The sequence below is a fragment of the Homo sapiens genome, chromosome 5 (genome assembly GCF_000001405.40).
Source record: "Homo sapiens chromosome 5, GRCh38.p14 Primary Assembly".
In the NCBI taxonomy this organism is placed as follows: Eukaryota; Metazoa; Chordata; class Mammalia; order Primates; family Hominidae; genus Homo; species Homo sapiens.
In genome coordinates, this window is record NC_000005.10 from 34,842,036 (window position 1) to 34,869,949 (window position 27,914).

The following is a 27,914-nucleotide window of genomic DNA, read 5'->3' on the forward strand; positions in this document are numbered from 1 at the left end:
TCATCCTTAGTTGGGAACCATTGCTCTATACCAGTGTCATCAAATAGAAATATAATGCAAACCACATATGTAATTTAAAATTTTCTGCTACCCATATTAAAAGGTGAAATGAAACACATGAATTTAATTTCAATACTATATTTTATTTCAATATATACAAAATATGCTAAAATTATTAATGAAATATTTTATCTTTTTATACTCTTTAAAATACAGCACATATTTTACATTTACAGCACATCTTAATTCAGACCAGCAATATTTCATGTGCTTGATAGCCACATGTGGCTAGTAGTTACCAAGTTGGATAGCATTTTTTTTTTTTTGAGACAGAGTTGTGGAGCACCAGATTCTGTTGCTGTTTGGGGGGCCCCTATGTAACCTGCCACAATCCCTGGTGGACTGAACAAAGGAGGGGTGAATGTGGGAATAAAAGACAAGAGACAAAAGAGTATACTTGGAAGAAGGGGTCAGGGGGCACCTTGCCTCTAGTGGACGAAGGCCCTGAGCTGTACACAGCCCTCTGTATTTATTAGGCAAAAGAGATGGTGAGAAGGGGGGTGGAAGAAGGGGTCAGCTGCTTAGTCCAGAGTAGGCTTGCAAGACTTCATTCCTCAAACAACAGGCTCTAGATGTCACAGTAGATAACCTCAGCGCTAGGGAGTGATTGCCTCCAGCAAACCCTCTGTCGGCAGGAGCACTCGTGAGTTTGCTCACATCCTGCATTCATGATAAACAGTTTGCTGTTTGATCATATCGTCTCCAGTGGAATGCTGAGTTGGTCACATCCCATGGGCCTTCGGCTCCCAGCACAGAGTCTTGCTCTGTCACCCAGGCTGGAGCGCAGTGGTGTGATCTCAGCTCACTGCACCCTTCGCCTCCTAGGTTCAAGCCATTCTCATGCCTCAGCCTCCTGAGTAGCTGGGATTACAGTCTCACTGTGGTATTTTTTAGGAGATACAGGGTTCCACCATGTTGGCCAGGCTGGTCTCGAACTCCTGACCGCAAGTGATCCATGCACCTCGGCCTTCCAGAGTGCTGGGATTAGAGGTGTGAGCCACTGTGCCTGGCCTGGATAGCATAAGTTTAAATTCATAAAATATCTTAAGGTTAAGGGTTATATGACTATAAAAATTGAAGTTCATAAAAATGTCAAGTTCACAGTAAAATATCTGGGAAATAATCGGATAATTTATATCGAACATTACTAATCAGAATTCCTATTCATGATGGTAACATATGGAATCAATTATAAACCTGGCAAGGCAGACCTTCCATTCAACCTCCTATTCTTTTTATTCTGACCATCCTTTGAGATGTCTGACTGGTCAGGATTCTCCAGCCATCTTTCTCACCTTCTATAACATGATGTTCAAAGCTAGTTCAGGGATTTACATTCTCAAATCATTTGTCAAGACCTCAATGTTTCTCATTCCTTTGAAGTCCCTGAGGTTGAAGCTTGCCACCTTTGGTCTTACCTTAATGTTATTCAAGGCTTAATTTAAAATATTTCGGGCTTATAATTTTTACTATCCATAATTAGCAATCTGGTGACTCCAATAGATTTAACTTCTGCTCTAGGTCTGTGAAATATGCAGCTTAAGCAAAATTTGCTATTGAGATATGATCTCTTTTTTTTTTAACTGCCCCTTGCAGAACAGGGCTAGCTCATAGGCAGCATGCCCAGAGTCAGCCGACTTATGATCTCTTGCCACAGATTTCCTCTCTCCTCAATATTTTTCAAACATTCTAAAGACTGCACATTCTTTTCTCATTCATTTATTCATCATTTAACAGGCCATTATTTGTTTTTACTATGAGCCAGATATCAGGTTTTCAGAAACAAATGAGGCTCAGCCCCTGCCGTATTGGAGTTTACTTTGCCAGCAGGCAAAGAAGACTCAGAAACAAACCAAAGAAACAACAATAAAAAAATCAAACAACAATAAAAAAAAATCACAGTGTACTAGCAGTTTGGGGGAAATTTTTGAAAGCCCTTTGGAGGCTGCCTTTATTGCTACTCCAGTGAAAGACTTCCAGGAATGATGACATCTGAGTTGTGTCTCGAAGGAGGAGTATGGAATTCACCAGGCAGAGAAAAGGAAGTTCATCACCTGTCTTCTGATCAGGTCACATCCCCAACCTTCCCTGGCTGTCCCATCAAATTAGCTTGTCTACTGAAAGCACACTCGTCTGTGGGCAGAAGGCAAGCCTGCCTGCGCTTGGGCCTCAAGAAATGTTGCTTCCCTATCTACACAACCTGGTTTGCCCACGTGCCTCTTGATAAGTTAATTAGAATAGAACTCTAGAAGGATATTAGCATGTCATTTTTCAAACCTGGTGTAAAAGATTACAGTTGGCATACAGCTCTTAAAGGTGGCACAGACCCAAAGAGTGAGCAGCAGCAGCAAAAAAAAAAAAAAAAAGGTTACACTTGGCAGTTATTTTCTTCTTGTGCTTTTCTGATTTTTTTTTTATTTAAACATTGAACATTCACTCTTTAAGCTTTTTGTGCTTTTCTGAATTTTCTTTTTATTTAAACATTGAACATTCACTATTTAAGCAATCAGTGGAAAAGAAAAGTAAATTTTATTTTAAAAACTACTCAGTGGCTGAACTTTTGAGTTATTGTGAGTATAAAGATGAGTCCTTTGGGAGACTTATTTATACTTAAAATTTCTACCGTTGCTCCTAAGATCTCAAAATTCTGTTTCTTCTGTAGCACTTTATTGATTTTTCTGGTGATGTTAGGATATAGTTCTTTTTAACACAACTAGGGATATTTCTCCTCTGAATCTGCACTTGATGTAGCGTGGGGTTCCCTCCCTGTCTCTGGTGGGACCCGTGTCCTCTTTTCTTGGCCACCACATGTTGAAGCTTTTAAGATATGAGAAGACATGCAAAGTCCAGCCTCAAAATGTTGGTTTCCTTTCCCTTATTTCATTGTATCCATTTTCTTTCCTTGCTTGGATCAGAATTTTAGAACACAGATATTCCTGGGGATCCTCCAGTTCAACACCCTCATTTGTAGAAGAAGAAGCCCTGTCCTGGAGCTAATGATATACTAATAGCTAACATGAAAGGAACACTTAGTGAATGTCACACACTGTGCTGATTTATGAGTATTATCTCATTTAATCCCATAACCTCATCAAGTAGGCATCCATATTCTCATTTTACAGAGAAGTAAATTAATAACTTGGTTAGGGTCATGTGATTAGTAAGCAGCAGAGCTGTACCTCTATAAATCGGCTTCTTCTGAACTACCACATTGCTGTCTTAATGCTAGGCTTTGAGGGCGACGTGAGTTTACTGCCTAGCTTTATTCCTTCCGGTTTATGTTAGAAATCATGTCCCTATCCCCTAGTTGGGAGAGCTATGCCCTTCAATTTTACCTTGTTTGAGATGGAGAAGGTTAAATCCTGAATCCTTGCCTCTCTCATACCTACAGGTCACAGCAAACCGAGATCCCAGCTCACCAGCAAACAGATGAGTTGTATCCCACTGGTGGGTGTGGAGAGAGTGAAGAGGAAACTAAAGCTAAAGAGAAGGAGAAGGCCATAGACTGTATGTCTCATCCCAAAGAGAAATTAGCCCAATCCCAGAAGAAAGTAGCTCAGCTGATTAAGGAAAAAATGGTAAAACAAAAAACTCACTAAAATTTTGTTTCCATTTAAAAATATGTTCCTGTTTAGAGAAGCTTTGCCTTCGATGCAGATTGAAGCATATGAAATAGAGGAAGGTGTCATATTTCTTTGTAAGTAGCAGAAAACAAAGCAGAGCCTACTTAGGTAGCCAGCCCACCTTCTGGTTCCATGCATGGTTCATTGTCTGTTCCTCCTTGGGGCATTTCTGGTCCTAGCTTTAAACTAAAAATTAGGCCAGGTGCAGTGGCTCATGCGTGTAATCCCAACACCTTGGAAAACCGAGGCGGGAGGATCTCTTGAGGCCAGCGTGAGTAACATAGTGAGACCCTGTCTCTACAAAAAAAATTAAAAATCAGCCAGGCATGGTGGAGGGAGCCTGTAGTCCCATCTACTTGGGAAGCTGAGACAGGATAGCAGCTTGTGCCCAGGAAATTGAGGCCACAGGGAGCCCGTGATTGTGCAACTGCACTCCAGCCTGGGTAACAGAATGAGACTGTGTCTCTAAGAAAATAAAGTAAAAATTTGAAAAACCTAAAAATTATCATTTGATTGTTTTTGTTGCTGTTACCTTTAACTTAAAATTAAAAAAAAAAATAGCTGGGCGTGGTGGCTCACACCTGTAATCCCAGCACTTTGGGAGGCCAAGGTGGGCAGATCACCTGATGTCAGGAGTTCAAGACCAGCCTGGCCAACATGGTGAAACCCCATCTCTACTAAAAATACAAAAATTAGCCAGGCGTGGTGGCGCATGCCTGTAATCCCAGCTACTTGGGAGGCTGAGGCAGGAGAATTGCTGGAACCCAGGAGGCAGAGGTTGCAGTGAGCTGAGATCATGCCATTGCACTCCAGCCCGGGCCGACAACAGCTAGACTCTGTCTCAAAAAAAAAAAAAAAATATATATATATATATATATATATACACACACATATATATACACACACATATACATATATACGTATATATACAAATACATATATGTGTGTATGTGTGTGTGTGTGTGTGTGTGTGTGTGTGTGTGTGTGTGTATCCATCCTGGAAGGTTTCAGGATGCTATCTCTTAGGTAACAAAAAGGCTGGGATAGTAAGGCAGGAGGTTGAGAACAGGTAGGCAGGCAGGTCTAAGCTCTGGCCTGGAAAGGATATGGGTAAGATGCCCTTGGTTACAGTGGAATCATAAACAAACCAAAGGGCCAGAAACAGAAGGTAGCAGTGGAGGTCAAAGATTCCAAATATGCATTTCTAAGAGCAAGTCAAAGACTTGAGTCAAAGATCTCAGAGCAGGTTTGTAAGCATGAGTATTCAAAATCCAGGAGACTGAGACAGCAAGACGTCGACTCTCATTATTAGAACACAGGCACCAGCCTGCTTCCAGAGCATGATTTATCAACAGAAGAGCTTGTACCTTGACTTCCTGGCTCCTCCTAGCCAAGGGGAAAAAAGTAATCTAGAGAGGTTTCATTTTCTATCATTTGCCTCTGAAGTATCTCTCTAGATGGATATTTGTAAATTTATCTCTGTAAATGACCCAAGGACCTTGCAAAGGACAGTCATCCTGGCCTGGACCCATTAGTGATTCACAAATCCAGGCTAGAAGGATCATTTCTAAAAACACACAAGTACCATCTGCCATGGAGTGTAAGTGGGGGTTTTCAAGGCTTAAAAACTCCTTGGCCAGATTGGATAATGACAAAGATTTAGATCTTAGGAGAGAAATCTGACTCAAATCCCAAGCTCATCAAATTGTATAAAGTGAACAGGTGCAGTTCTTTGTATATCAGTTATAGCTCAATAACGCTGTTTTTTTTTTTTTTTTTTAAATCAAACCCAACCTAGTACTCCTAGCCCTGAAGGGCAGGGGATGCCACATCAGCAGCAGAAGTGCTGGGATGACATCTGGAGCCCGTATTGGTTGTCCCGGTTTCTCCAAGTCAAGGAGTTCGAGGATGAATATACAATGTCCAGAGCCAAAGCTTTGGTCTCCCATTCCAGTGATTTTTTCATGGCATGATGCTTCTTCCTCGAAAGAGAACTTAGTATTTGCTGTGGTCAGCCCATGGTGAACTCTAAAAAATGCTGACTAAATGGATGTTTTGGAAGCATCAGGGGAAGTTTCCTTCTACCATTGCTTGCTTCTGTATATTTGAGCAGGGGGCAGGTAAAACATGAAGTTGGGTAGGAGATAGGAATCAGTAAGGAGTGTATTCCTTGGAATAACCTATGGTACTGCTGTATCTTATCTAACATTACTCTTTAAATGGGTTACTTTGGTTACCTGTACATTATTCTTCAAACGGGTTACACTTAGATCTGACCTAACAACACTGAATCATTTGGACACTATTTTTTTTTCCTTACAGTAACTCCATGAGGTAGATGGTACAGGTTTCCAAACCTCAGAAAAGGAAGCTGAGATCAAAGTGGCCTGCCCCAAAGCAACACAATCAGTAAACAAACATTAGAACCAGGGCTGAAACTTTAGGTTTTTGGTTCCTTGAAGTGCTATTTTCACTTAACCAGGAAAAAAATGCCTGACCCTATCGACTCGTTCAGCCAATAATGGCTGTGTTTGTAAAGTCACTGAAATATATGACTTGAAGATACAGTTCGGTGATTTCTTAGAGAGCTCTACCTGTCATTTCTATAGGGGTAGAGGATTATTTTCCCCAACCCATCTTTAACCTTGCTAATAAATGATTCATTCAGCAAATATTGAATGTGTTACACCTGTGTGTACTGGGCAGATAACAGCGAACATGAGGAATAAACTTCTGTCCTCAAGGGACTTATCTTCTATTTGGGGAGATAATAGACAAACAATAGTAATAGCTAATAAAATATTAGATAGAAGTAAGTACTATGAAGAAAAAGTAAAATAGGTAATGGGATATTGAGTGATGAAGTGGTGTCTATTTTAGATAAGGTGGCCAAAAAAGGCCTGTTGATAAGAAAAGTGAAAATGAAATGAGAAAGTGAATGACATGGAAGAGTGTCCCAAGCAGTGGGAGCAGCACGTGCACAGCCCTACATTGGAAGTTAGCTGGTGATGTTCAGGAACCGCTGGTCAGTGTAGTTCTAGCAGACAGAGTAGGAGGAAAGGGTGGTAGAAAATGAAGTCCAGAGGTGATTGGCATTGGGTCAGATTATGCAGAGCCTTGGAAGCCATGGTGAGGACTTTGAATTATATTAAGAAGAAAAAGCGGGAAGCTGTTGGAGGATTTTGAACAGGAAAGTCATGATCTAATTTATATCTTAAGATATAAACACATAAAATACGTTTTAAAATCCATAAGTTTCTAATAATAATAACAAGCTATTTGATCACAATTAGAGGATGCTAGTGAACAATTCATTTTTCTGAAAGCTAGTAAAGGGCAAGAATAAACCATGTGTCCTGCCTTTCCAACATGAACTGTACTATTGGGTAACCAAAGAGTGGAGGAGGAGAAATTCTCCTTACAGAATTATTCCAGCTAATGTATGAAGAAGGAATGATAGAATTAGTATATTTGCATTTTATAATCTTTTGTTAATTTTCCATGTAGTTTTCCTAATATCAGAGAAAAAAAAGAAAAAACAACCAGATAGTAGATGTATTCTGCTGGAAGAACATACCAGTAGCCATGAAGTCGTTTTGTAAAAAAAAGAATTCAAAGCTGAAATTAACCAAACTTCTAAACCCAACTACTAATATAAAGGCAGAACAGAGAATGGAGGGACATGATGAGACACCATGAGGACGCAGTCATCAAAATTTATGTCTGTGGGAAATACTAGACCAAATGACTCAGCTTTTTCAAATAATTCGTAAGAAAAAGAACTAGAGATGGAAAAGTAACCTATAGATGAAAAGAGACTGATCTCACAGTGTGGACAGTCAAACAAATTATTTAAAAAATTCCATTTCTGTGATTAGATAAGGAATTATTGTTAATATTTTGGTGAGATAATGATTTTGTGGTATGTTTCTAAGTCCATATCTTTTAGAGGTATTTACGAAATGTTAACAGAGGCAACAATGGAATGTCTGATTTGCTTCAATTTAAGGTGAGGATGGGTGGATGAGGGGTCTAGATATGAAACAAGATTGGCCAGGAGTAGATCACTGATCACGCTACATATTCATTTTTCATGCTGTCTGTTTTGTATATTAATAAAGTTTTTCATGATAAAAGGTTAAAAGAAGTCACTCTGGCTATTATGTAGAAAGTAGACTGTGAGGGCCAGAGAGGAAGCAATTGGAAGGGGCTGCTGTGGCCAGCCAGGTCAAAGGTGAGGGTGGCCTGGACTAGGTACTCATGGCAGAAATGAGGAGAAGAGCTTGGTTTTAGGATTTAGGGGGAATGTGGATCCAACCAGACCTGATGGATTAGACACAGGATGAGAAGGAAAGAGAAGAGAAAAAAGATGACAGGTGAATTCAGTCCTGTGTTCCAGTGATAAGTCCATGGGGTAGAGACTTCTCTTCCTTTCCAAAAAGTATAATCACTTCTGTACTCTACAGAATACTCAAGCAAACAAGGAGCTGATTCGATGTGTCATCCTTTCTCGGATTATTTTTGGGGACCATCACTGGAAATGTGCACGAGCTCTGGCCAACCTAGCTTATGGCTACTTGACACTGAGAGGTACTTGGTTTTCCCAGCTGGGTTTGGGTGGCCAGCCTCTGAAGGCTGAACTGACCCACACAACCTCAGTGAGGATGGGCATGACTAGGAGGGCCCCTTCTTGCCCCTAGCTCACACATTATCAGGAAGGAAAGTCCATGGATGAGGGAGACAGTGTGCAAGGATCTAAGTAATAAAGATAATAATGATGATGACAGTTATTGAGTATTTAGCATGTGCCAAACTGGTCTCATTAGTCCTCACAATATTCCTTGGAGGGAGATACTATTAGTAACCTCAGTTTATGGATGAGGACACTGGAGCACAGTGGGCAAAGGGCAGTATCAGGGGTTCCAGCCGGAGGACAGTAGGGGAAGGACAGGCAGGGATGTACACTCAGCATCAGGGAGGCAGACCCAATAATGGGACTTGAATTCCAAAGGTAGAACTCAAGTTCCTGGAAGGTTTGGCTTAGTGAAAGGTAGGACCCTCATCCTAGAGAAATGGTACTTCTGGAAGGTACTCTAGTATAAGAGAATAAGACAAGAATCTATTTGCTAAAACTGAACCCAAGTGAAAGTTCCTTGAGAGTAGAAAGTTTGTAGTACAGGCTGAATAAATATTGGGTGATACACTGAGGCGAGAGCGCATTTCAGGAACCAGGGACATAGCCAGCTCAAGACTCTCTGTTCCTTGACCAGCCATGTCCCCCTGTGTGGTCTGCATACATTTTCACCGTGGAACTCATTGTACTGTGCTCATATATGCTTTAAATGCTTCTTCCTCTGACATAGAAGCTCCCTCAGGGCGGGACTGGTCTCATTTGATCTAGAACAGTCCTTTGTACACAATATGGTTTGGCATATTACTGCTTATGAACTGAGCCACTGGCCTAGGGGTTGTTCAAGTACCTCTGGGACCTCAGTCTGAAGGGGGGCCTAACTTGTAATACAAATTAAATGCTTTATGGGCTTAAGTGATTTGAAGGCTACAGGAAAAGGGAAGCAATATATTTGGGCCATAATGAGGCTGGATATCAGCAAAGCTTTTGAAAAAATTAAAATTGAGTTCACTTCTCAGTTATTGATCTCAGAATATATTCTCCTTCTTAGGGCTCTATAGGCCCTTTTACACCCATTTATTTTTAATGCAACTTTAGATTCATTTATTGATGTGGCAAGATCACAGGTAGCTGAGATCACAGCATTAGGACAGTGATGCTGTGGGTCACAGTGGGGGCACAGCGAGGCCCTTTTATGCTTTAAGAACACGTGTTGTGTTCTGAAAGAAGGTGCTATGGCTAGGGAGAGGAGAATGTCCTTATGTACTGGCAGAGCAGGCAGCCACCTCTATGAAATTTCAGAGTGACCAGGAAGGATCTTCCCCTAGTGGCGTTCCGTGCTTCCTTACTTGGAATCTCTCTATTCCCATCAGACTGATTTTCTCAAAAACTTACTGCCTTCATGATAAGAGTCAAATTTAGGGATTTACTCCTTCAGTACTTATGGAGTTCTTGTTATAAGCCTGGTGGCACTTGCAGTCAGTGCTGGGGATACATAAATGAATATTGGTGGTCCCTATGCTCTAGGAGCACACAGGGGTCTTATGATAGGTACCATTCTAGAGGTAGGAACAAAATTCTGGGGAGGCAGTTCAGTGGTATTGCCATTGAGGAAAGTCAGGGAAGGCTGCCGAGAGAAAGTGATATTTGTCCTGTCTTTGAAGAATGAGAATAGGTTTATCAAGTAGATTTTTTTACTTTTTATATTTTTATTTTTGTAGAGATAAGGTCTTTCTACGTTGCCCAGGCCGATCTCAAATTCCTGGCCTCAAGTGATCCTCCCACCTCAGCCTCCCAAAGTGCTGGGATTACAGGCGTGAGCCATGGCACCTGGCCCCCAAGTAGATTTTGAGGGGAGAAGTAGAGAGTACAAAGTTGGTCCTTTATATATGTTGATCTAAGGCATAGGAAGTGAGAGGAGGGCACTCTGTATAAAACTCGTTACACAGAATATTGTAGCTTCTCTGTAGACCCAGGGGGTTAAGGTAGGACGGAAGACACCTTAGGACAGACAGCTCATGTTTGGAAATGGGACTGAAAAGGTAATTTGGGCCCAGATATCAGGGAGTGTGGAGAGTTATTAAAAGGTTTGAAGTGAGGTGGTAATAATCAAGCTTGTGTTATAAAATGAGAGACTCCAGGATGGGTTGGACTGGGTAGAGAAAGAAGAGGCAAAGACCAGTTAGGCCGTTATCCTGCCCAGATGAGAGTCGATGAGGGCATTGGGTATGGCAGTTGGAATGAAGAAAGATAACCTAAAATGTAGAATGGGTGACATTTAGTGCCCCATTCAGTATGGAGTGGGAAGGACAGGGAAGAATTGAAGTTGAAGTAGGCATGACCTGGACAATTAGCTTAAATCGAGAATGAAAGGGAAAGACCAAGTGGTGGGGTGTATTAGTCTGTTTTCATGCTGCTAATAAAGACATACCCAAGACTGGGTAATTTATAAAGAAAAAGAGGTTTATGGATTCACAGTTTCATGTGGCTTGTGAGGCCTCACAATCATGATGGAAGGCCAAGGAGGAGCAAAGGCACATCTAACGTGGCGGCTGGCAAGAGATCATGCAGAGGAACTGCCGTTTATAAAACCATCAGATCTCATGAGATGTATTCACTATCACCAGAACAGCATGGGAAAACCCTGCCCCTGTGATTGAATTACCTCCCACTGGGACCCTCCCATGACACGTGGGGATTATGGGAGCCACAATTCCTGGTGAGATTTGGGTGAGGACACAACTAAACCATATCATGGAGGAAGGGGGAAGAAGCTACTGAGTTTGGTTTCTGAAAGCAGGTCTAGAGCTCAGGAAAGATGTTAGTCTGGGAGAAATGAGCACATAGGAGCAAGTTGAGGCCATAGGAGTGGATGAGCTTGATCAGAAGTAGTGTGTAGTGGCTGGGTGTGGTGACTCATGCATGTAATCCCAGCACTTTGGGAGGCTGAGGTGAGTGGATCACTTGAGGTCAGGAGCTGGAGACCAGCTTGGTCAACATGGTGAAACCCCGTCTCTACTAAAAATACAAAAATTAGCCAAGTGTAGTGGTGTGTGCCTGTAATCCTAGCTACTCGGGAGGCTGAGGCAGGAGAATTGCTTGAACCAGGAGGTGGAGGTGGCAGTGAGCTGAGATCGCACCACTGCACTCCAGCCTGGGCGACAGAGCGAGACTCTGTAGTAGTGTGTAGAAAGAGAGGGGAAGAGAATAGAGGACTGAAGACTGGAGAGCAAGAGCTTTAAGAATGGGTAGGGTAAAGGGGGGCCAGCAAAGAAAATAGAAGACTCAGGAGGACCCGTGTCATCAAAGCCAAGGGAGGAGAGAGGGTTTTGAAAAGAAGTACAACAGTGGTTTCAACAGTTCAGATGGTAGAGGAAGGTCAAATAAGGTAATGGCTGAGGAGAGACCCATGGATTTGGCGGTTGGTAGGTCATTGCAACTTGGTTTGGTAGAGACAAGTACACTCCTTGGGCCCTGGGAGAGCCCAGATTCACAGAGACTAGCTAAGGGTTTTTCACTGGAATTCAAACTTGAGGTGATGAACTTGAACTGAAGAGGAAGGCATTTGAGAGGGAGATTTCTCTGAAACTAGGCAAGGCCAGATGCTGCCCTCTCTGTCTTGCCTTGAAGATGACTAGGGTAGGTCTAGAAGGAGGTTGGCCTAGATCTTCTGAAATCAATCCCTTCCATAATGAGCCACAAACTGCCTTTGAGTTTTACTTTTCCAATTAGATTCCAAGTTAAGTCAAGATAAGTGAACAGGTTATACCACAAAACATGGTGATAAATCCTTTTCTCCCTAACTGACAGTTTTTCCTGCTGCATGAATAGAGAACTACGTTGGGGCAATAAGTTGGAGGAGACACAAGTTTTCCTGTACGAGAGACTTTTTTGTTTGTTTTTCCTAGATGGGAAAGGCAGCTTGCTGGTCAGATGAAGTGTCCACATGGTATAGTGGAGCCTAGACTTGAACCCAGATTTTCTGATACCAGCCTAGATTTTTTTTTAGAATAGGTTGTGACTGTAAGCTTTCTTTGAGAATAGCCCAGTGCCTCTTTGCTTTCTTCACTTAAGCTTTTATTTCAGTTTCTTCACTTCAGCTTTTTTAGTGTCTGGTCCATGGAATAAGTAAGGCTTTGAAAAATGGCAGATCTTCAAGAGAGATGAAGTGCTTGCTCAGCTCCACTCAGTGTTGTTGTCATTCATCCTCTAACTGCTTTAAAGTGGACAGAATATATAAGCTGGCCTCCTGTGTAGGCGGATGTGTGTGTCTGTGTGCGTTCATGCCTCACTGCACCCATTCATGTTTTATAGTCATCAGCCCTGCTTTGCTCATTTCACTTTGAGCCTTTTCCAGCAGCCAAAAGGCTAATTTCTCTCAATAAACAGTCATTCAGTGAGTAGTGAGAAACTTGTATATGTGAAATGCCATGATGAACACTTTGGGAAATGTAACATAAAGAAGCCCTCAAAGGTTTTACAACTTAGTGTGGAAGGTGAACTACCTGGGGACATAACTATGAGGGAAGGCAGTGTAAGGTAAATGCCATGTAATTGATTTAAATAATGGGCTTCGGGAAGGTTGAGTGAAATCATTTCTGGCAGAGATGATAGATTCAAGGGGGAGGTGGATTCAAGGGTTGTAAAGAAGGAGTAGGGTTTGGGTAGGTGGAAGAAGGGGTGGGCATTTCTGATGAAGAGGAAGGTGTGGGCCAAGGCATAAGGAAGGAAAGTGCCACGTCTGTGGAGACAGCAGTAAGCAGCCTTGTCTGGCTAAGGTTAGGACTGGTAAGATGAACCTGGAAAGGAGAAGGGTACATTGGGCAGGCTAAGGTTAGGACTGGTAAGATGAACCTGGAAAGGAGAAGGGTACATTGGGCAGGCTAAGGTTAGGACTGGTAAGATAAACCTGGAAAGGAGAAGGGTACATTGGGCAGGCCATGGTGTGGTTTTAAATACAGGCTAAGGAATTTGTAATTTATTTGATAGGCAAAGAGCACTAGTGGAGATTTTCCAGCAGGATGATAAAAATATCAAAGTGTACTTTTGGCAGGGTTAATCTAGCAGTGATGGAATGGAAGCCATCTCAGTCATCTAGGTCTAAAACTAGGCTGCCAGAGAGAATGGGTGAGAAGGTAAGGATTCAAGAGTCTACGAACGACAGATACACTTATTTTTAAACCAGAAACCCACTTCTGGGAATCTTTCCTAAATACACACTGATAACATGGACAAGATTATTCTTTGCAGCATCATTCATGATAGGAAAAGATTGGAAACAAGCAAGTATCCATCAATAGGAAACTAGTACATACACACAGTGGGATATATGGAGTTTTAAAAAGAACATGAGGAATCTCTATATCCTTCTAGGGAAAGATCTCTTTAGGGAAAAGAGAATGCACAATGCAGTATGGTGTTTATAATACGCCTCTTTTTGTGTAAGAGGGAGTAAGAAATGAGAATGTAGGCTTATTTTTATATAAAAAACACCAAAGGGTACACAAGAATGAAACAAAAAAAGTTACTTAGAGGGTGGTTGGGGACAAAGGGAACAAGATTGGAAGTGAGACCTCTCAGTGTTTACTTTTTCTTATAATTTTTAACTTTTCAACGATAGAAATGTGTTACCTATTCAAAAATGATTATTAAAAGACAGAGACCATTAAGAAGGAGTAGGCAGGACATGGTGTTCGATTTGGGGTTGAGTGACAGTGAGGCCCAAAGATGACCATGATGTTTTGGGCCCCTGAAATTGCCATTTTCAGAGAGAAGTAGGTCAGAAAGGAAGTGGACTGGGAGAGGAATGCTGAGTCCAGTTTTTGATGTATAGATTTTGAATTGCAATAGAGAATCCACAAGTTGAGAATCGCTAATCTGAAAATCTGAAATCCAAAATGTTCCAAAATCTAAAACTTTTTGAATGCTGATGTGACGCTTAAAGGAAATGCTCACTGGAACATTTTGGATTTCAGATTTTCAGATTTCAGAGATGTTCAACTGGTTATCTGCAAATAATCCAAAAACCTCCCCCCATCCAGAACAAAATCTGAAATCTGAAACACTTCTGGTCCCAAGCATTTTGGATAAGGGATACTCAACCTGTAATACATTTTCACTTGTGCTGGAAATTTGGGACCAGAACTTGGGAGGAGAGAAGGAAAGGCATAAGCATGGAGGAATGTTTGAGACCAGAACTAAAGAGGGGAAATGGTAAATTATAAGCATGGAAGCCAAGGTTGAAGTAATAGGAGTTGATAAAACTTCCAAGAGGGAAAGAGAGAAGTGGAAGAAACAGAAAGATTTGGAAAATGGACACATTAATGGTAGAGAACAAAGGACCTTGATAAAGAGTTAGCAAAGAATCAATTACAGAAGGTTTATAAAGGAGAAGCAGGTTGGTGCAGTGCCTTGGGAGCCAAACAGGTAAGGGTATCTGATGCTGCAGTGAAATGCGGACTGAAAAACTGCAGTTGGATTCATTTATTAGGATGTTTTTGAGGGGACCTCAGAAGAACAGTTTCCCCATAGTGGTTGGAGGAGAAGCCAGATCCCAGGGATGAAGGGAAGCAATAGGGACCGGAGGCTAGTGAAGATGATTTTACAAGAGAAGGAGATGCAGGAAGATTTTAGGCAAAGAGGAAGGAGCCAGTTAGAAGAGAGGGTTTAAAGATGTTTTTAATGGAGTAATTGATGGAATGGGATTCACAAGAGAATGTGAGGCTTTTGCAAAGCAGAGTGTATAAAAGTTGGTTCGCTTGTTAAACAGAACAAGTGACACTAGAAGTGGACCTCTATGGCCCACTGCCCTGGTGATGATCCTAATGAGCCTAGTGATCCAGCAGCTGAGAAAGGGCAGTCGGAGATCACCATGGTAGTTTGGTAACTAGTGGTGAACTGTTTTCAAGTGTTCAGGAAGGAAAATATGGTAACGTGGACAAGCAGTTTTCTGAAATTCTGCTTATTAATGAAACAGTACTTTAGTCAGCCTATTATTACTGGGAATCTTCCAGGTACTGGGGCTCTGTTACAAATGTTGCAAAATCCAGAAAAAGAAGCCTAAGTCATGCTTTCTTTGTCTAGTTGGTTAAAACAAAGACACAAAAACTGGTACAGAAACAACAGGGAATGATAAAAACCGGGTAATCTGACCCACAAGAAGCCTGATACCTACCTGAAGTGAGTCTGCATTTGAGAATGCAAGCCTTTTACAAAGATTCTGTAAACAGTGCTATGAAAAATGTTGAAAATAAGTACAAATATAGTAAATTACTCAATAAGAGAAATGGACCTTGGTAATAATAATAATAATGGCTAATATATCTTCAAACTCACTTCATTCAGGTACTATTTAATCCTTTTTTTATATTAAATTAATCCTTGCGACAACTCTACAGGATATATTTTCATTACCATTTTGTAGGTGAATAAACAGGCACAGATAAAGTAACTTTTTCAAGTCATAAGGATGTTCAAGTCATAATGACTAAACAAGGATTTATACCTGGAAAGTCTGGCTCTAGACCCTGCTCTTTTAATTACCGTGCCACAGTAACTGCTTAAATATAGATGCTGATCAAAGGTGACTGCTTTCTGGTGACAATAACAACCTCCAAAGATTGGGTAGCTCTGAGCAGATTTTCTCTGGCCTGAGTCAGTGTAGCAGAATCGATGATAGAATCCCAACCCAAACTAAAGCAAAATGATTGATATGTTTGTTGGACAATCTTTGGACTCATTTTGCCATCTCATCAATATTTCCTTGTAATTTCTGAATCTTGGGCTCCAGAAGCAGGCCTTGCTGCCCCTCTGCCTTGTACCTTGAAAACTGCTGCACTGTCAGTGCAGGTAGAAGGGTGGTATCCTTGGCTTGGGAGGGCAGATACAGAAAAGTAACTTGATCTATGAAGCATCCTTCATAGATATATACAATAATAAATCTTATATACAGAGAGTTTTTACATGAAAGAGGACGTACTTAGACTTAGTAAATGTAAATTCATTTCAAAGTGTTGCTGATACTGAATTCATAGTACTTTTGTCATTATGAATTTTTTCAAGTAGTATGTGCTATGAAAATAATTATCACAAGTGGAGGAAGCCTTGTGGTTTTTTTAAAATATAAAAAGAGCTCTTTCATACTTGAAAAGGTTGGAAAACATTTGTCTAGGCCAGTGGTCTCCAAACTCAAGAGACAGCTCCCTTATCACTAAAAGAAACTTAAGCAAACAATCAATTACTTTTTATACATGTATTTTAAATAGATTGTGTACAACAGTATTGATGTGTTATGTAATATTATAAATAGTAATAAAAATAGAAAAAGGCTTCAGATAAAAAAAAAATAGAGAAGTTTTGATTTCCCCCTCACACTCTTACGGCATCTTGCATACCTGTAGAGTTCATGCACTCCACTTTGGAGATCAGAGAGGATTCTGGGAAGGTGAAAGAAGTTTTTTCCCTTTAGGGCTTAAAATATAATAAATTGTTTTAAATCAAGATCCTTGTTCAGTTTGCTTAAGCCCCTTGTGGCTCAGCTTTTCCATCAGAAGGCCCACAATGTGGGGCCTAGTCGTGTGAAAGCAAGGAACTCTATGATTGATTAGCTGCTGAGCAGAGAGGAAAAGTATTCCTCCTGGGAATTGCACAACCAGCATGGGATATTTTGCAGGGAGGGTGCAGGCTTTCAAAAGCCTCAGGGACTGCCTCAGAACAACTTTCTTGAGTGGTAGTTGTTTTATTTGACATTCACAAGCCCAGAAGGAGTGTCCGCTCATTTGGGGTGGTTTTTAGTAGCTCCTGCAGTTTCACCTTTCTTCTTCCTAAGGACCCAGGGAACTGTCTGAATTTGGTTTTTATAGTCCTTAATGACACACTCCTAACGGCCCACCTACTTGTGGAAAATGACCTGCTTGATCAAAACACTTTCTCAGTTTTCTACTTTGTTTTCTTGGTCTAAAGTAGCCATCTCGGCTTCCAGTATCCGAAGCAGAGTTTTCTGTGACCTAACTAGTGATGCTGCCTTCTTCCTCCAGACCTGTGAAGACTCCCTGTTACATAACAGATCTAATTCCCCCTCCTCATCTGGGCATCTGCTATGGTTCGAGCATGTCCACTCCAAAGTTCAGGTGTTGCCACTGTGATAGCATCAAGAGGTGGGGCCTTTCAGAGGTGATTAGGCTATGAGGGCCCCTCCCTCATGAATGGGATTAAGGCCGTTATAAAAGAGGCTTTTTGTGGTGTTTGGTTCTTTTTCTCTTCCGTTTTTCATCATATGTGGATGCAGCAAGAGGTCCCTCACAAGAAGCTGGCGTCTTCATCTTAGACTTTTCAGCCTCCAGAACTGTGAGAAATTTCTGTTCTTTATAAATTACCTGGTCTCAGGTATTTTATACCTGACATACAAATTAAGACATCATCCAAGATTTTTTACATATTCAATGCATAGCTTATACGTTTTTCTTTTTTTTCTTTTCTTTTCTTTTCTTCTTCTTTTTTTTTTTTTTTTTTTTTGAGACGGAATCTCACTCTGTTGTCCAGGCTGGAGTGCAGTAGCGTGATCTCGGCTCACTGCAAGCTCTGCCACCCAGGTTCATGCCATTTTCCTGCCTCAACCTCCAGAGTAGCTGGGACTACAGGCGCCCGCCACCACGCCTGGCTAATTTTTTGTATTTTTTTTTAGTAGAGACAGGGTTTCACTGTGTTAGCCAGGATGGTCTTGATCTCCTGACCTCGTGATCCGCCCGCCTCGGCCTCCCAAAGTGCTGGGATTACAGGCGTGAGCCACTGTGCCCGGGCTGCTTATACGTTTTTCAATTCAGAGTTTCCCTTCAGTCATCTTTCTACCTTCCCTAACCATCCTGTATCCACCCAACCTCATCCCCCAGTGCAGCACACATACATACACACACTTGCTTGTTCTGTCTTCAAGGCCTCAAGCTATTTAATCCAAGGGGAAATCCCTCCTTGTATCAGTCAAAATCCTATCCACTCTTGAAAAACAAGATGAGTCCTACTTCTTCGATAAAGATTTTACTAACTATGTATTTCTCCAAGTGTGGTCCTCAGACAACCTTGCATTATTACCAAGATTAGTTCTTACAAATGGGAATCCTTGGTTACCACCTGAAACATGGTTGCTTGTTTTAAATGTGTATTCTTGGTTCTTATTCCAGAACTTGTGAGCTGTAACTACTGGAAGTGTGGGACAGGAATCTGCATTTTAATAGGGTGCTTATAATGCACAGTGCAATTTGAAGGCCACCCTTAACTTAGGACACAGCCCTCTCCAGAGTCCATTTTTCTCTTTAGTTGAAACCTATGGAACAGATATTTCTGAGTATTCTGCAGAGACTTCTTGTCTCTGGATCACTTTTATTTATTTTTATTTTTGCAGTTTTTAATGAAAGGTGTATATAGGGATACTTTCCCCCTACATCTTCTCGAATGTTTCTTCCTCATATCTACTATTTTTCTTTCCTACTAGGTGAGATTTGGCTTTCTGCTCAAGGATCTTTTTCTGTTCTTTTCCAGTTTTAGCCTAGTGATAGCTGCCTTGTTGGGGTCAATGCCCACATGGATAGTTGTGCCGTTAGCCTTTTCCCACTGCACCCTGTCAGTATAGATGCCCTTTTTTTTTTGAAACAGTCTCACTCTGTCGCCAGGCTGGAGTGCAGTGGTGCGATCTCAGCTCACTGCAGCCTCTGCCTCCCAGGTTCAAGTGATTCCCCTGCCTCAGCCTCTCTAGTAGCTGGGACTTCAGGTGCACACCACCATGCCCAACTAATTTTTGTATTTTTAGTAGAGATGGGGTTTCACCATGTTGGCCAGGGTAGTCTCAATCTCCTGACCTTGTGATTCGCCCACCTTGGCCTCCCAAAGTGCTGGGATTACAGGCGTGAGCCACCACGCCCAGCCAGATGCTGTATTTCTTCTGGTAAACCTGGATTACTTTGCCAGTTTGCTGACCTTTATAGTGTCCTTGCACAATCTGAACTTCATCATCCTATTTGGGGGGCATGGATCAAGCATTGTACTTTTGTCTCAGCTCTTTGGAAAGAGGGAAGACATAATCTTGTGAATTTGGAAAGGTGCATTTGAAATGCTTTTTTATGGTTCTTGCTTTGGTCAGAAGTCACAAAAGAACTGAACTTTATTTTGACGACTGCTGCTTATATAATGGTTGCAAAAGGGAGAAGGGACCTGGGTCACCTTTAGAACTCTCCCAGGGAAGACCATGTTCCCTTTCATTGCTATAACTCATTCAGGAGGTGCACTTAGAACACATGAGGGCTGCAGGTATCAAAGACAAACTTTTAAATTTATCCTTATTGCCATTGACTTGCACCCATTCTGTGAAACTAGGCTTCAGGAGCCAAAGGCAGCTTGCTGAGTAGGACTGGGGCTGGTGGTGTGAAGTGAGGATTAGGGGCACAGTGGCCTACTTGGCAGGGGTGAATGTGTTTACCAGCCCCTAGGTACCTGCAGAGAGAGGGCTGAAAGTGAACCCTACCTGTTGTTTTCAGTCTTCCCAAGTCTACCTCTGTTGACTGGACAAATAGCAGCTTGAGTAAGTGCCCAGGAACACCAGCAAAAAACAAGGGGACAAATGAGATGTGGCTGGAAAGGGGGATGCCCTTTCACCCTTCATGCAATGCATATTTGAGGGGAACCTGGTGCTAAATCATTAGATAACCTGCTTCTGGGTTAGGGTTTTGTATGTAGCAGAGCAGCTCCCTCACTGCAGTCTATGGAAAGTCAGCCCTGGACACAGGTTTGTATTTTTAAATCTTTAAAAAGAAAAGAAAAGAAAAAACAAGGGGAAAAACCCCACCAGTTCTGTCTAGCTGGGGTCTGGCCTTGCCTTTGTCTTCTTAGTTTGGGGCCTCCCTGCATTTAGCAATTGCTTTCTTTTTATGTGTGTTGTGTGACCAGTTAGTATCACCAGATTCATCTTAGATTGAAAAAAAAAATCCCCAGATGGAAGTAATTGCATTCATAAGCCCTTGTATTTATAGAATGCCTTTTCCAGAACACTCAATGCACAGCATTCTATGGCATAACCTACTTTGGTCCTGGACTATCTCTGTGTGTTTGGTAAGGGTCAGCTTCTATAATTATTATTGTTGTTCAACAGTTGGAGGATGGAGAAGCGTTGTGGGTTGAAAAGGTCACATGGCATTAGTAGTAGAATCAGGAATAGGATACTCACCTTCCATTCCTGTCTCTGTCTTGAGTTCCAAACTGAGGTACGAAGGCTAATGTTGAGAGGGCTGAATAAGAACCACTTGTGGTGCAGATTAAAATTAGAGATTCCTGGACCCCAATTCTCTAGAGATTCCCCACTCAGTAGGTCTTGAGTGGGGCCCAGGAACCTGTATTCTTTACAAGCATTTCCAATAATTCTGATTCACAGCCAGATTTAGGAACCAATGCTATAGACCATACGACAACTGCACTGCCCACTTTATCCCCTCCCAGGAATGTTTTTGACTGAAGCATGCCTTTTTAATGTCTGTCTTCTTGCTCCTCACCCTCTAACTCCCCCAGGCCTCCCAGTTCAGGCCAAGAAACATGCTACATCAGCCAAGAATACACTGTTGACCTGGAAGGCAAATACGACCTCAAATAAGGAGAAAGAGGAAATCCTGGAAGCTCTGGTCAAGCTGTACTACACTCTGGGCGTGGCCTGGCTCCTGCAGAACCGATATCCTTCCATTCCTAGCTGCGTTTAGTGTTCGGGGCCACAGGCCACACATGCCAGATGGGTCATCTCATACAGGAGGGTGGGAGATGGAACCAAGGCCTTGTAGATCTGTTCCAACATCAAGGCCCTCCATGAGCCTCTCCTCTCCATCTAGAAGGGTGTGTATTCTCTTCCTATGTCTATTCATATAAGCTCTGAGTTGAGCCACGGAAGAGATTTCACTAGTCACATATTACCTAGCCAGCTGAAGGTTTTCTGAGTCTGTTCTGCTCTTCATTGAGCACCCAAGAAAATCAGTGTTAGCAATGAGGATGAGGGTGGTGGTGGTGGTGGTGGTGTAGTGATGGAGAGAATGGGTGATAATTTAAAGCACAATTTGGCAAACTAGGCTGCACATTGTAATCCCCTGGGGAGCTTTAAGAATTTCTGCTGTCTGTTCCTGCCCCAAAGATTTTGACTGAGAGGCTCTGAGGTACATCTGTTCATTGAAATTTTTAAAAGCCCTCCAGAGATTGTAATTTGCAGCCCAAAACCACTGATTTAACTGATTCTCGATCATTTTAGTTTTTTGAAATGCTCTTGTGGATACTGCCCATGAGGCTGGAGGCCAAGCAAAATAGACAAAACAAGTAGTTCTATAAATCCCCAGAGGGGTACTGTTATATGTGCCTTTCCTCAGAACTGGGGATTCTGACAGCCTGTTGTACCATCTCCACTGGAAAGATGTTAAGGGCATTTGATGTTCACGCATCATCATGAGCACTCTTTGAGCCTATGTGTCCCCAGTCTCCTCTCTACACATCCCCCTCTCTACTTTTTTGGTCCTAATGTTCAACTTGCAAAATCTGATATGTGGCCTTCCTCTGTTATACCCTTAGCAGGGGGCTATTGAAAATGTGGGAAATAGAAGAATGTTTGGGAATTAAGGGGATTTTTGCTTTTCTGCTGTTTGCCTTTGGCCCAAAACCTGCTTTGCTTGGACTTTCTAAATGACCCAGAAAGTTCCTTTCAGCGTAATTAGTTCCTCTCTTTTACCATTCACAGGAACAGGCTTGGGAAAAATGAATAACTATTGTCATGCAGTAGATGCCTCTAAAGGAAATCGAGTGTAATTTACAGTTTCCGCTCACTCCTGCAAACACTGCCTACCTACTCTAGTCTTGGATTCAGGCAACCACCACAGGAAACCCAAGCCCCTGTTCCTTTTCTAAAGAATTCTTGCTTCTTGACAACATAATACATGGAAAATAAAGAACATAGTTAAGTACCCATTTTTAATATTGCTTCACTTTTCCAAGAGCCCCTTTTGTTTCCTTATCACCTGCTGTCCCTGTGCAGTGGATGTTAGTTTGAGTGCTTGCCATTTTCCTTGACTATTTCACTGGCAGAGAAGCCTATTTCAACCTGCAGAAGGCAGAGAGAAACATGAAGGAGCTGAAAGAATTATATAAAGGAGGTGTTTGTGAATTACAAGTCTCTGAGAACGACCTAACACTTGCTTTGGGCAGGTAAGATCTGGGCTTGGAGAAGCTGAGGCTTTTATGAATGAGGCTTGGAATTACATGATATAAGGGAGAAAAATATTTAGAGCAAAAAAACCCAGAAACTCAAATGATAATAAAAGAGGCTCATATTTACCAAATGGATACACTGGGCATTTTGTGTACTGCCCCATTTAATCCTCACAACAGCCATTGAGGTAGTTGGTATGATTATTATTTTATTAAAGGGGGGTGGTCAAGGAGACTGAAGCTGAGGTTAAACAAATTGTCCAAGATAACATAGCTTGTAAATATTGGATCTGTGATCTGAACTCACTAACTCTTAGTCTTCCTTATACTTGCCTCTCACACTCACTCTAATATTGTATTTTTCTCTGAATTGCCACCTATTTTTGTCATGACATGTGACATTTTAGATGAAGGAACACTTAATGAAGACAATTAACTGGAAGCTGTGAAAGCCATGCACAGCATGTACATTTTTAAGGAAAGTTCTGTTCCATATGAAAACAAAGTTCATGGAATTGGTTTAAGCCAGAACAAGATTTAACTGTCTTGCTGTTGACTTAGGGATCCTCTGAGAATCAGAATATTTAGAAATGAATGTGGGCCCATCAGATTATTAGAAGAAAAAGAATAAAGAGTTTACTGTTCCCTAGATTTTTCAAATATCTTTACATCCTTGAAAGCAATCTGTTTCCAAAACTGTAAGCACTTGGCACAGTAGGGTATATGACTGAATAGTAAGTAAATGAAATACATGCGTCATGTCTGCGTCCTCTAAACAACCATGAATCTAGAAGTCAGATGGGAAATGGGGAGATGTTGGAATGTCCAGAACTAAATCAAACTATTGACTTAAGTCCACAGGGCAATAAATTACAGTCTGGTGAATGTCTACTCCTGTCACATAGGGCCTAAAGTTTTTCTGCCTTATGTGAAAGATAGTCTTATTCTTTTTTCAGAAAAACTCTGGTGCTCATTTTGTTCATCCATTCTCCAGTATTTATTGAATACCTTTTTTATGCATGTCCTGTTCTAAGTGTTAGAGTGCCTACTAAGTATAACTACATACTAGACACTGTTCTAAGTGCTTTACATAATTTATTTTACTTAGTCCACATGACAGCCAATGAGGGTAGGTATTTCTATTATTTTCATTTAGATAGTTTTTCATTCTGCCACTCAGGCTGGAGTGCAGGGTGCAATCAGAACTCACTGAAACCTTGAACTCCTGGGCTCAGCCTCCTCAGTAGCTGAGACCACAGGCAAGACACCACCACACCTGGCTTACACATATATTTTTAATTCAACTTAGGAATACAAATATTGGAGTCAGGAGGAAGGAATATTGATTGTATATCTACTATATGTTAGGTGATTTTATACTTAATATTATTCTTCACAACAAACTTGCAGTATAAACTCAATTGTTTTATTTAGAAGGAAATGTAGGCTTATAGAGTTTGAGAAAGCTCATAATTACCAGAACCAGCTTTGAACTACCCATGATCTCATTTTACCTTGCTGTCTCTGGAAAGATAAACCTCAATGAGATATTGTTTTATCCTCATTTAAAAAAATTATATTCCCAACTTTGTTGTGGAAAATTTTGAAAATACAGACAGGTATGAAGAACGAATAAGCCGATTGTGATACCACCACACAGACGTAACTGCTATGAACATTTTGAACAGATATATATGGATATCAATAACTATATCTCTATGTGGATCACAGTCTAAGTGCAGCTTTATATCTTTTTCCTTTTAGCACATTTTTAATATCTTCCCATATCTGTCTAAAAAGAAAACATGACTTTTAATGTCTCTAAGGTATTTTATTGTATGATATGCTATAATTTATTTAATCACTCTCTTGGGGGAATATTTACATTTTTTTTTCTATCCTCATTTTTAACTGAGGAGGAATTCGCCAAATTAAATGGAACAAAACAAAGCAAAAACTTTCTTTGGCCTGAAAGAGAGGGAATCAGAGGTAATAAAATTTTATTTTGATTTTAGAAAGTCTATGTTTATGGGTGAATTATCCCATCTTGTGAATTCCTGGAAGCCATTTTTCCATTTGCTTTTTAAAAAAAATTAGACAACAGCACGACATAGTAATGGGTTTAATGAGTGGTCGTCAATGAAATCTGATGGGTAAAATGCAGGATAATTGGAGTTTATTTACAGCAAGGCTAGATTTTTGAGCCAGCTACCAAGATGATGGGCCTGTGAAGGCCAAATTCTTTAATTCTTGGAATCAGTTCCTTTTGTGTCTGCAAAGTAAGTGGCCTCTCTGTGACTTTCTATTTTCATCCCTTTTCTTGCAGAGCCTCCTTGGCCATCCACAGACTGAACCTAGCTCTGGCATACTTTGAAAAGGCAATTGGCGATGTTATTGCTGCCAAGGGTGATAGGACGTCAGATCTGATCAGCCTGTACGAGGAAGCTGCTCAGATAGAGCAGCTGAGGAGGAACCACAACCAGGCCATCCAGTACTTGCAGCAGGTCAGTGGGTTGGCCAGAGCCCAGGCTGGGTTGCCTTGTTTGGCCCCAGGCTTGGTTCTCAGGGCCAGGGAAGCATGGGCTTCTCAGAAGAACAAGGGCTGGAATTGATTCTGTTTTAACCCTGACTTTCCTCCAGATCCACCTAAGAGCCCTTGATCAAACCTTAAATGACCAGGCCAGAGAACACTGACTCAGGTGGGCGAATGTGCTGTGTCATTGGCTGTGCAGACAGCACTTCCCCCTCCCCCTCTTATCTCTGTTGGTGCTGTAAAAAAGAAGCAAAATGTGAGTCTACTCCAAGGAAAAAAGATACAGGGACAACCGAACTTAAATCTTCAGCAAAAACAAAAGGCCTTTTTAAATGAAAAATCATGGTATTTTAGGGTAATGCTGTCATTTGTACTTTAAACTAGTCTAGCTGATTATATTTCCAAACCTAAGGTTAAACTAACAAAAGGGTGTTTCACTTGGAGGTAACTAACTTGACAAATGCCCGGGGGAAAACAAAACAAAACATAGGAAGGAATGGTGAGTCTATTATATTAGGGTACTTTTATGTATCATGTACTTGAAGCTGCTAAATTCACCTTTTCTCTCTCCGAAGGAGAATGCTGCCTGTGGCTTCAGGTATCTCCCACAGTGACAAACATCAAAATACTGGATATCCTGTATCATAGAAAAGGTGCAATGCAATCTAACAGTATACATGAAAACAGACTCTGAAGAAAAGGCATTGCAAACAATCTGACAGTCCACAATTATAAACATCACACAGTGGAGAGATGTCAGAGAATGCTGCTGTGAAGGCAGGGAGTCCACTGCTTACAGAGAAAGCCAGTCTGGTTTTTGTGTTCAAGACTTTCTCAAAGCAGTGGTCAGATCAGAATGAATAAAACAATAAATAGCAGTGTTTCCCAAAAGCACCAAAAGATAAGAGTTAAAATGTATGGAATGCTTTTTCTACGTTCCCTAGAGGATATATCGATTCATTTAATCTGTACAATAGCTCTATGAAGTAGGTACCATTATTATTTTATCTCATTTTAAGGATGAGAAAACTGACGCACAGAGTTATAGCTAACTCAGCTGACATTGTATAGCTAAGAAATAGTAAAGCAGGGATTTGAACTCCACATCTGACCCTACAGCCTGTATTCATAACAACTCTGCTCTGTGTCTTGGCTCCAAAGTCTTCTCTGATAACCCCTCAGCTCTTTGAAACACCTCACAGTATTTGGCCTATGAAATATTAAGCACAGGTGGTTCTTTTGTGGCTGGTGGGTGTGGACTCAATGTTTTTCTCTTTCTCTTTTCTAAGTGTTACTCCTTCCATTTTAGCACAAATAATATAAAATCTAACACTTTTTTAGTGCTTACTATATGCTGGGTGGTGTTCTAACCACTTTACATATATTAACCATTAATTTATTTAATATTTACAACAACTTTTTATAACAAATACTATTCTTATTATCCCTGATTTACATTTACAAGACTGCCTTCAAGACTGGAGTTCAGTCCAGTGAGACTGAGCTAAGGTTATGACTTTATTTTTGCTATGAAATCTAATAAAAATTATACTAGCCAACATTTATTGAGAACTTACCACGTGATGAGCACCGTGCCCTGTGCTTTGCATATACCATCTCACTTAATCCTTCCCAAACCCTAATCAGTGGGAATTATATATTCCTTCTACGAATGAAGGTGAAATTACTTGCACAAGACTCATAGCTAGGAAGTGGCAGAGCTGGGACTCAAACTCACCTCTCATCTAAATCCACAGTGAACACTGTCATTGGGTGCTTACCTTGTCATGATTTTCTTTATTCCAGGCTCATTCTGTCTGTGTTTCTTTGTTCACTGAAGTCAGCCCCAAAACTGCAGAAATGAGTGCGTTACTGGCCAAAGCTTATGCCATGTCTGGAGAGGCCCAGCACAGGGGTAGGTAAAAGAGGTAGCCTTGAAGTTATTTCCCAGTCACATGAGGGAAGCACATTGGCAAACAGCCTATCTAAGATTCTAATTAGCTATTTATTCCTGTAATGGAAAAATTAGGTGGGTCACAGTCTCATACAAAATCAATTACACATTAATTTAAACCTGATAATATACCCCCACATTCGTTGGAATGTCAGTAACAAATAAATCATCTGATTTCTACATCCTCTATTTATTTTGAATCTCAGTGAGATTCACCTTCTTAACTAATAGATATCACACATACTGTGAATGTGGCCTGTGCAGTATCGGTTGATAAGGACATCCAGTGATAAATGGGTAGAGCTTTACCTCCTCCACTTTCAGTCTCCTTGACTCTTTTCCTCTGGCTGACAAGAGAGAATGTTTGTTAGCAGAATTTTCTTGACCCATATTCAATAGTTAGATACTGGGGGTTGCAGAGAAAGCCAACTGATTAATTTATGCTTCAACAATAGTTCTTTGTCTGGCAAGGTCATCTTTTTGAAAGTGGGTGGCTTTGGGAGAGACACAAATGAACCAATGAGGGAGGACAATGTATCATTCTGTGCTGGCTTGATCAGATTAATGGACACTGATGGATTCAGTGGCCTGTCAGGAGGAATTTAGGCTTCATGAAGAATATAATTTGATCATTTTAAAACTGTCTATTTTCTTTGCTTATAAAAGTAACCTTTTTGTGTATGTTATTTTCCAGTTAGAGAGAGGGACAGAATTATAGAGAAAGCTTTCCATCCTACTTTTTTCAATGCTTGTATTCCCCATGTCATTAAATAAACATTTTTTTTCAGTTTGCAAAAGTTTTGATCTTTTAATTATTTTTTAAGCATAAACATCCATTGAAGACTTCCTGATTCTTTGTTTTTCAGCTAATCCTCTTTCTCCTTTTAAGATTTCCTC

The 27,914-nt window shown here is 41.0% G+C and overlaps 1 protein-coding gene and 1 long non-coding RNA gene across 23 annotated transcripts in view, besides 1 other annotated feature; one reads left to right on the forward strand and one right to left on the reverse strand.

The window, feature by feature from the left end:
* The window catches only part of TTC23L (tetratricopeptide repeat domain 23 like), an 86,519-nt gene that overhangs the window by 2,872 nt on the left and 55,733 nt on the right, over positions 1-27,914 (forward strand). For 14 of the 22 annotated variants that reach the window (NM_001386170.1, XM_047416824.1, XM_017009120.3 and 11 more), the window contains exons 3-8: positions 3,452-3,638; positions 8,150-8,273; positions 20,863-21,019; positions 22,402-22,527; positions 24,857-25,034; positions 26,870-26,978. In NM_001386170.1, coding sequence (NP_001373099.1) covers positions 3,452-3,638; positions 8,150-8,273; positions 20,863-21,019; positions 22,402-22,527; positions 24,857-25,034; positions 26,870-26,978 — 881 coding nt within the window. Of the gene's footprint in view, positions 1-3,451; positions 3,639-8,149; positions 8,274-20,862; positions 21,020-22,401; positions 22,528-24,856; positions 25,035-25,170; positions 27,815-27,914 lie in introns of those variants that run through there. The other 8 variants (NR_169875.1, NR_169876.1, XM_017009124.3 and 5 more) reach the window with 3 other exon arrangements.
* On the reverse strand, positions 123-27,425 carry LOC124900959 (uncharacterized). The gene is made up of 2 exons (XR_007058729.1): positions 26,845-27,425; positions 123-1,071 (listed from the first exon to the last, which is right to left on the reverse strand). It is a non-coding gene; the product is annotated as an uncharacterized LOC124900959 (long non-coding RNA).
* Positions 24,553-25,752: an enhancer, noted in NCBI's record as "CDK7 strongly-dependent group 2 enhancer chr5:34866693-34867892 (GRCh37/hg19 assembly coordinates)". NCBI's record gives its function as "activates an origin of replication core promoter dependent on BRD2, BRD4, P300/CBP, MED14 and CDK7 cofactors, with strong dependence on CDK7, by STARR-seq in HCT116 cells {active_cell/tissue: HCT116}" and the evidence as "EXISTENCE:reporter gene assay evidence [ECO:0000049][PMID:35650434]".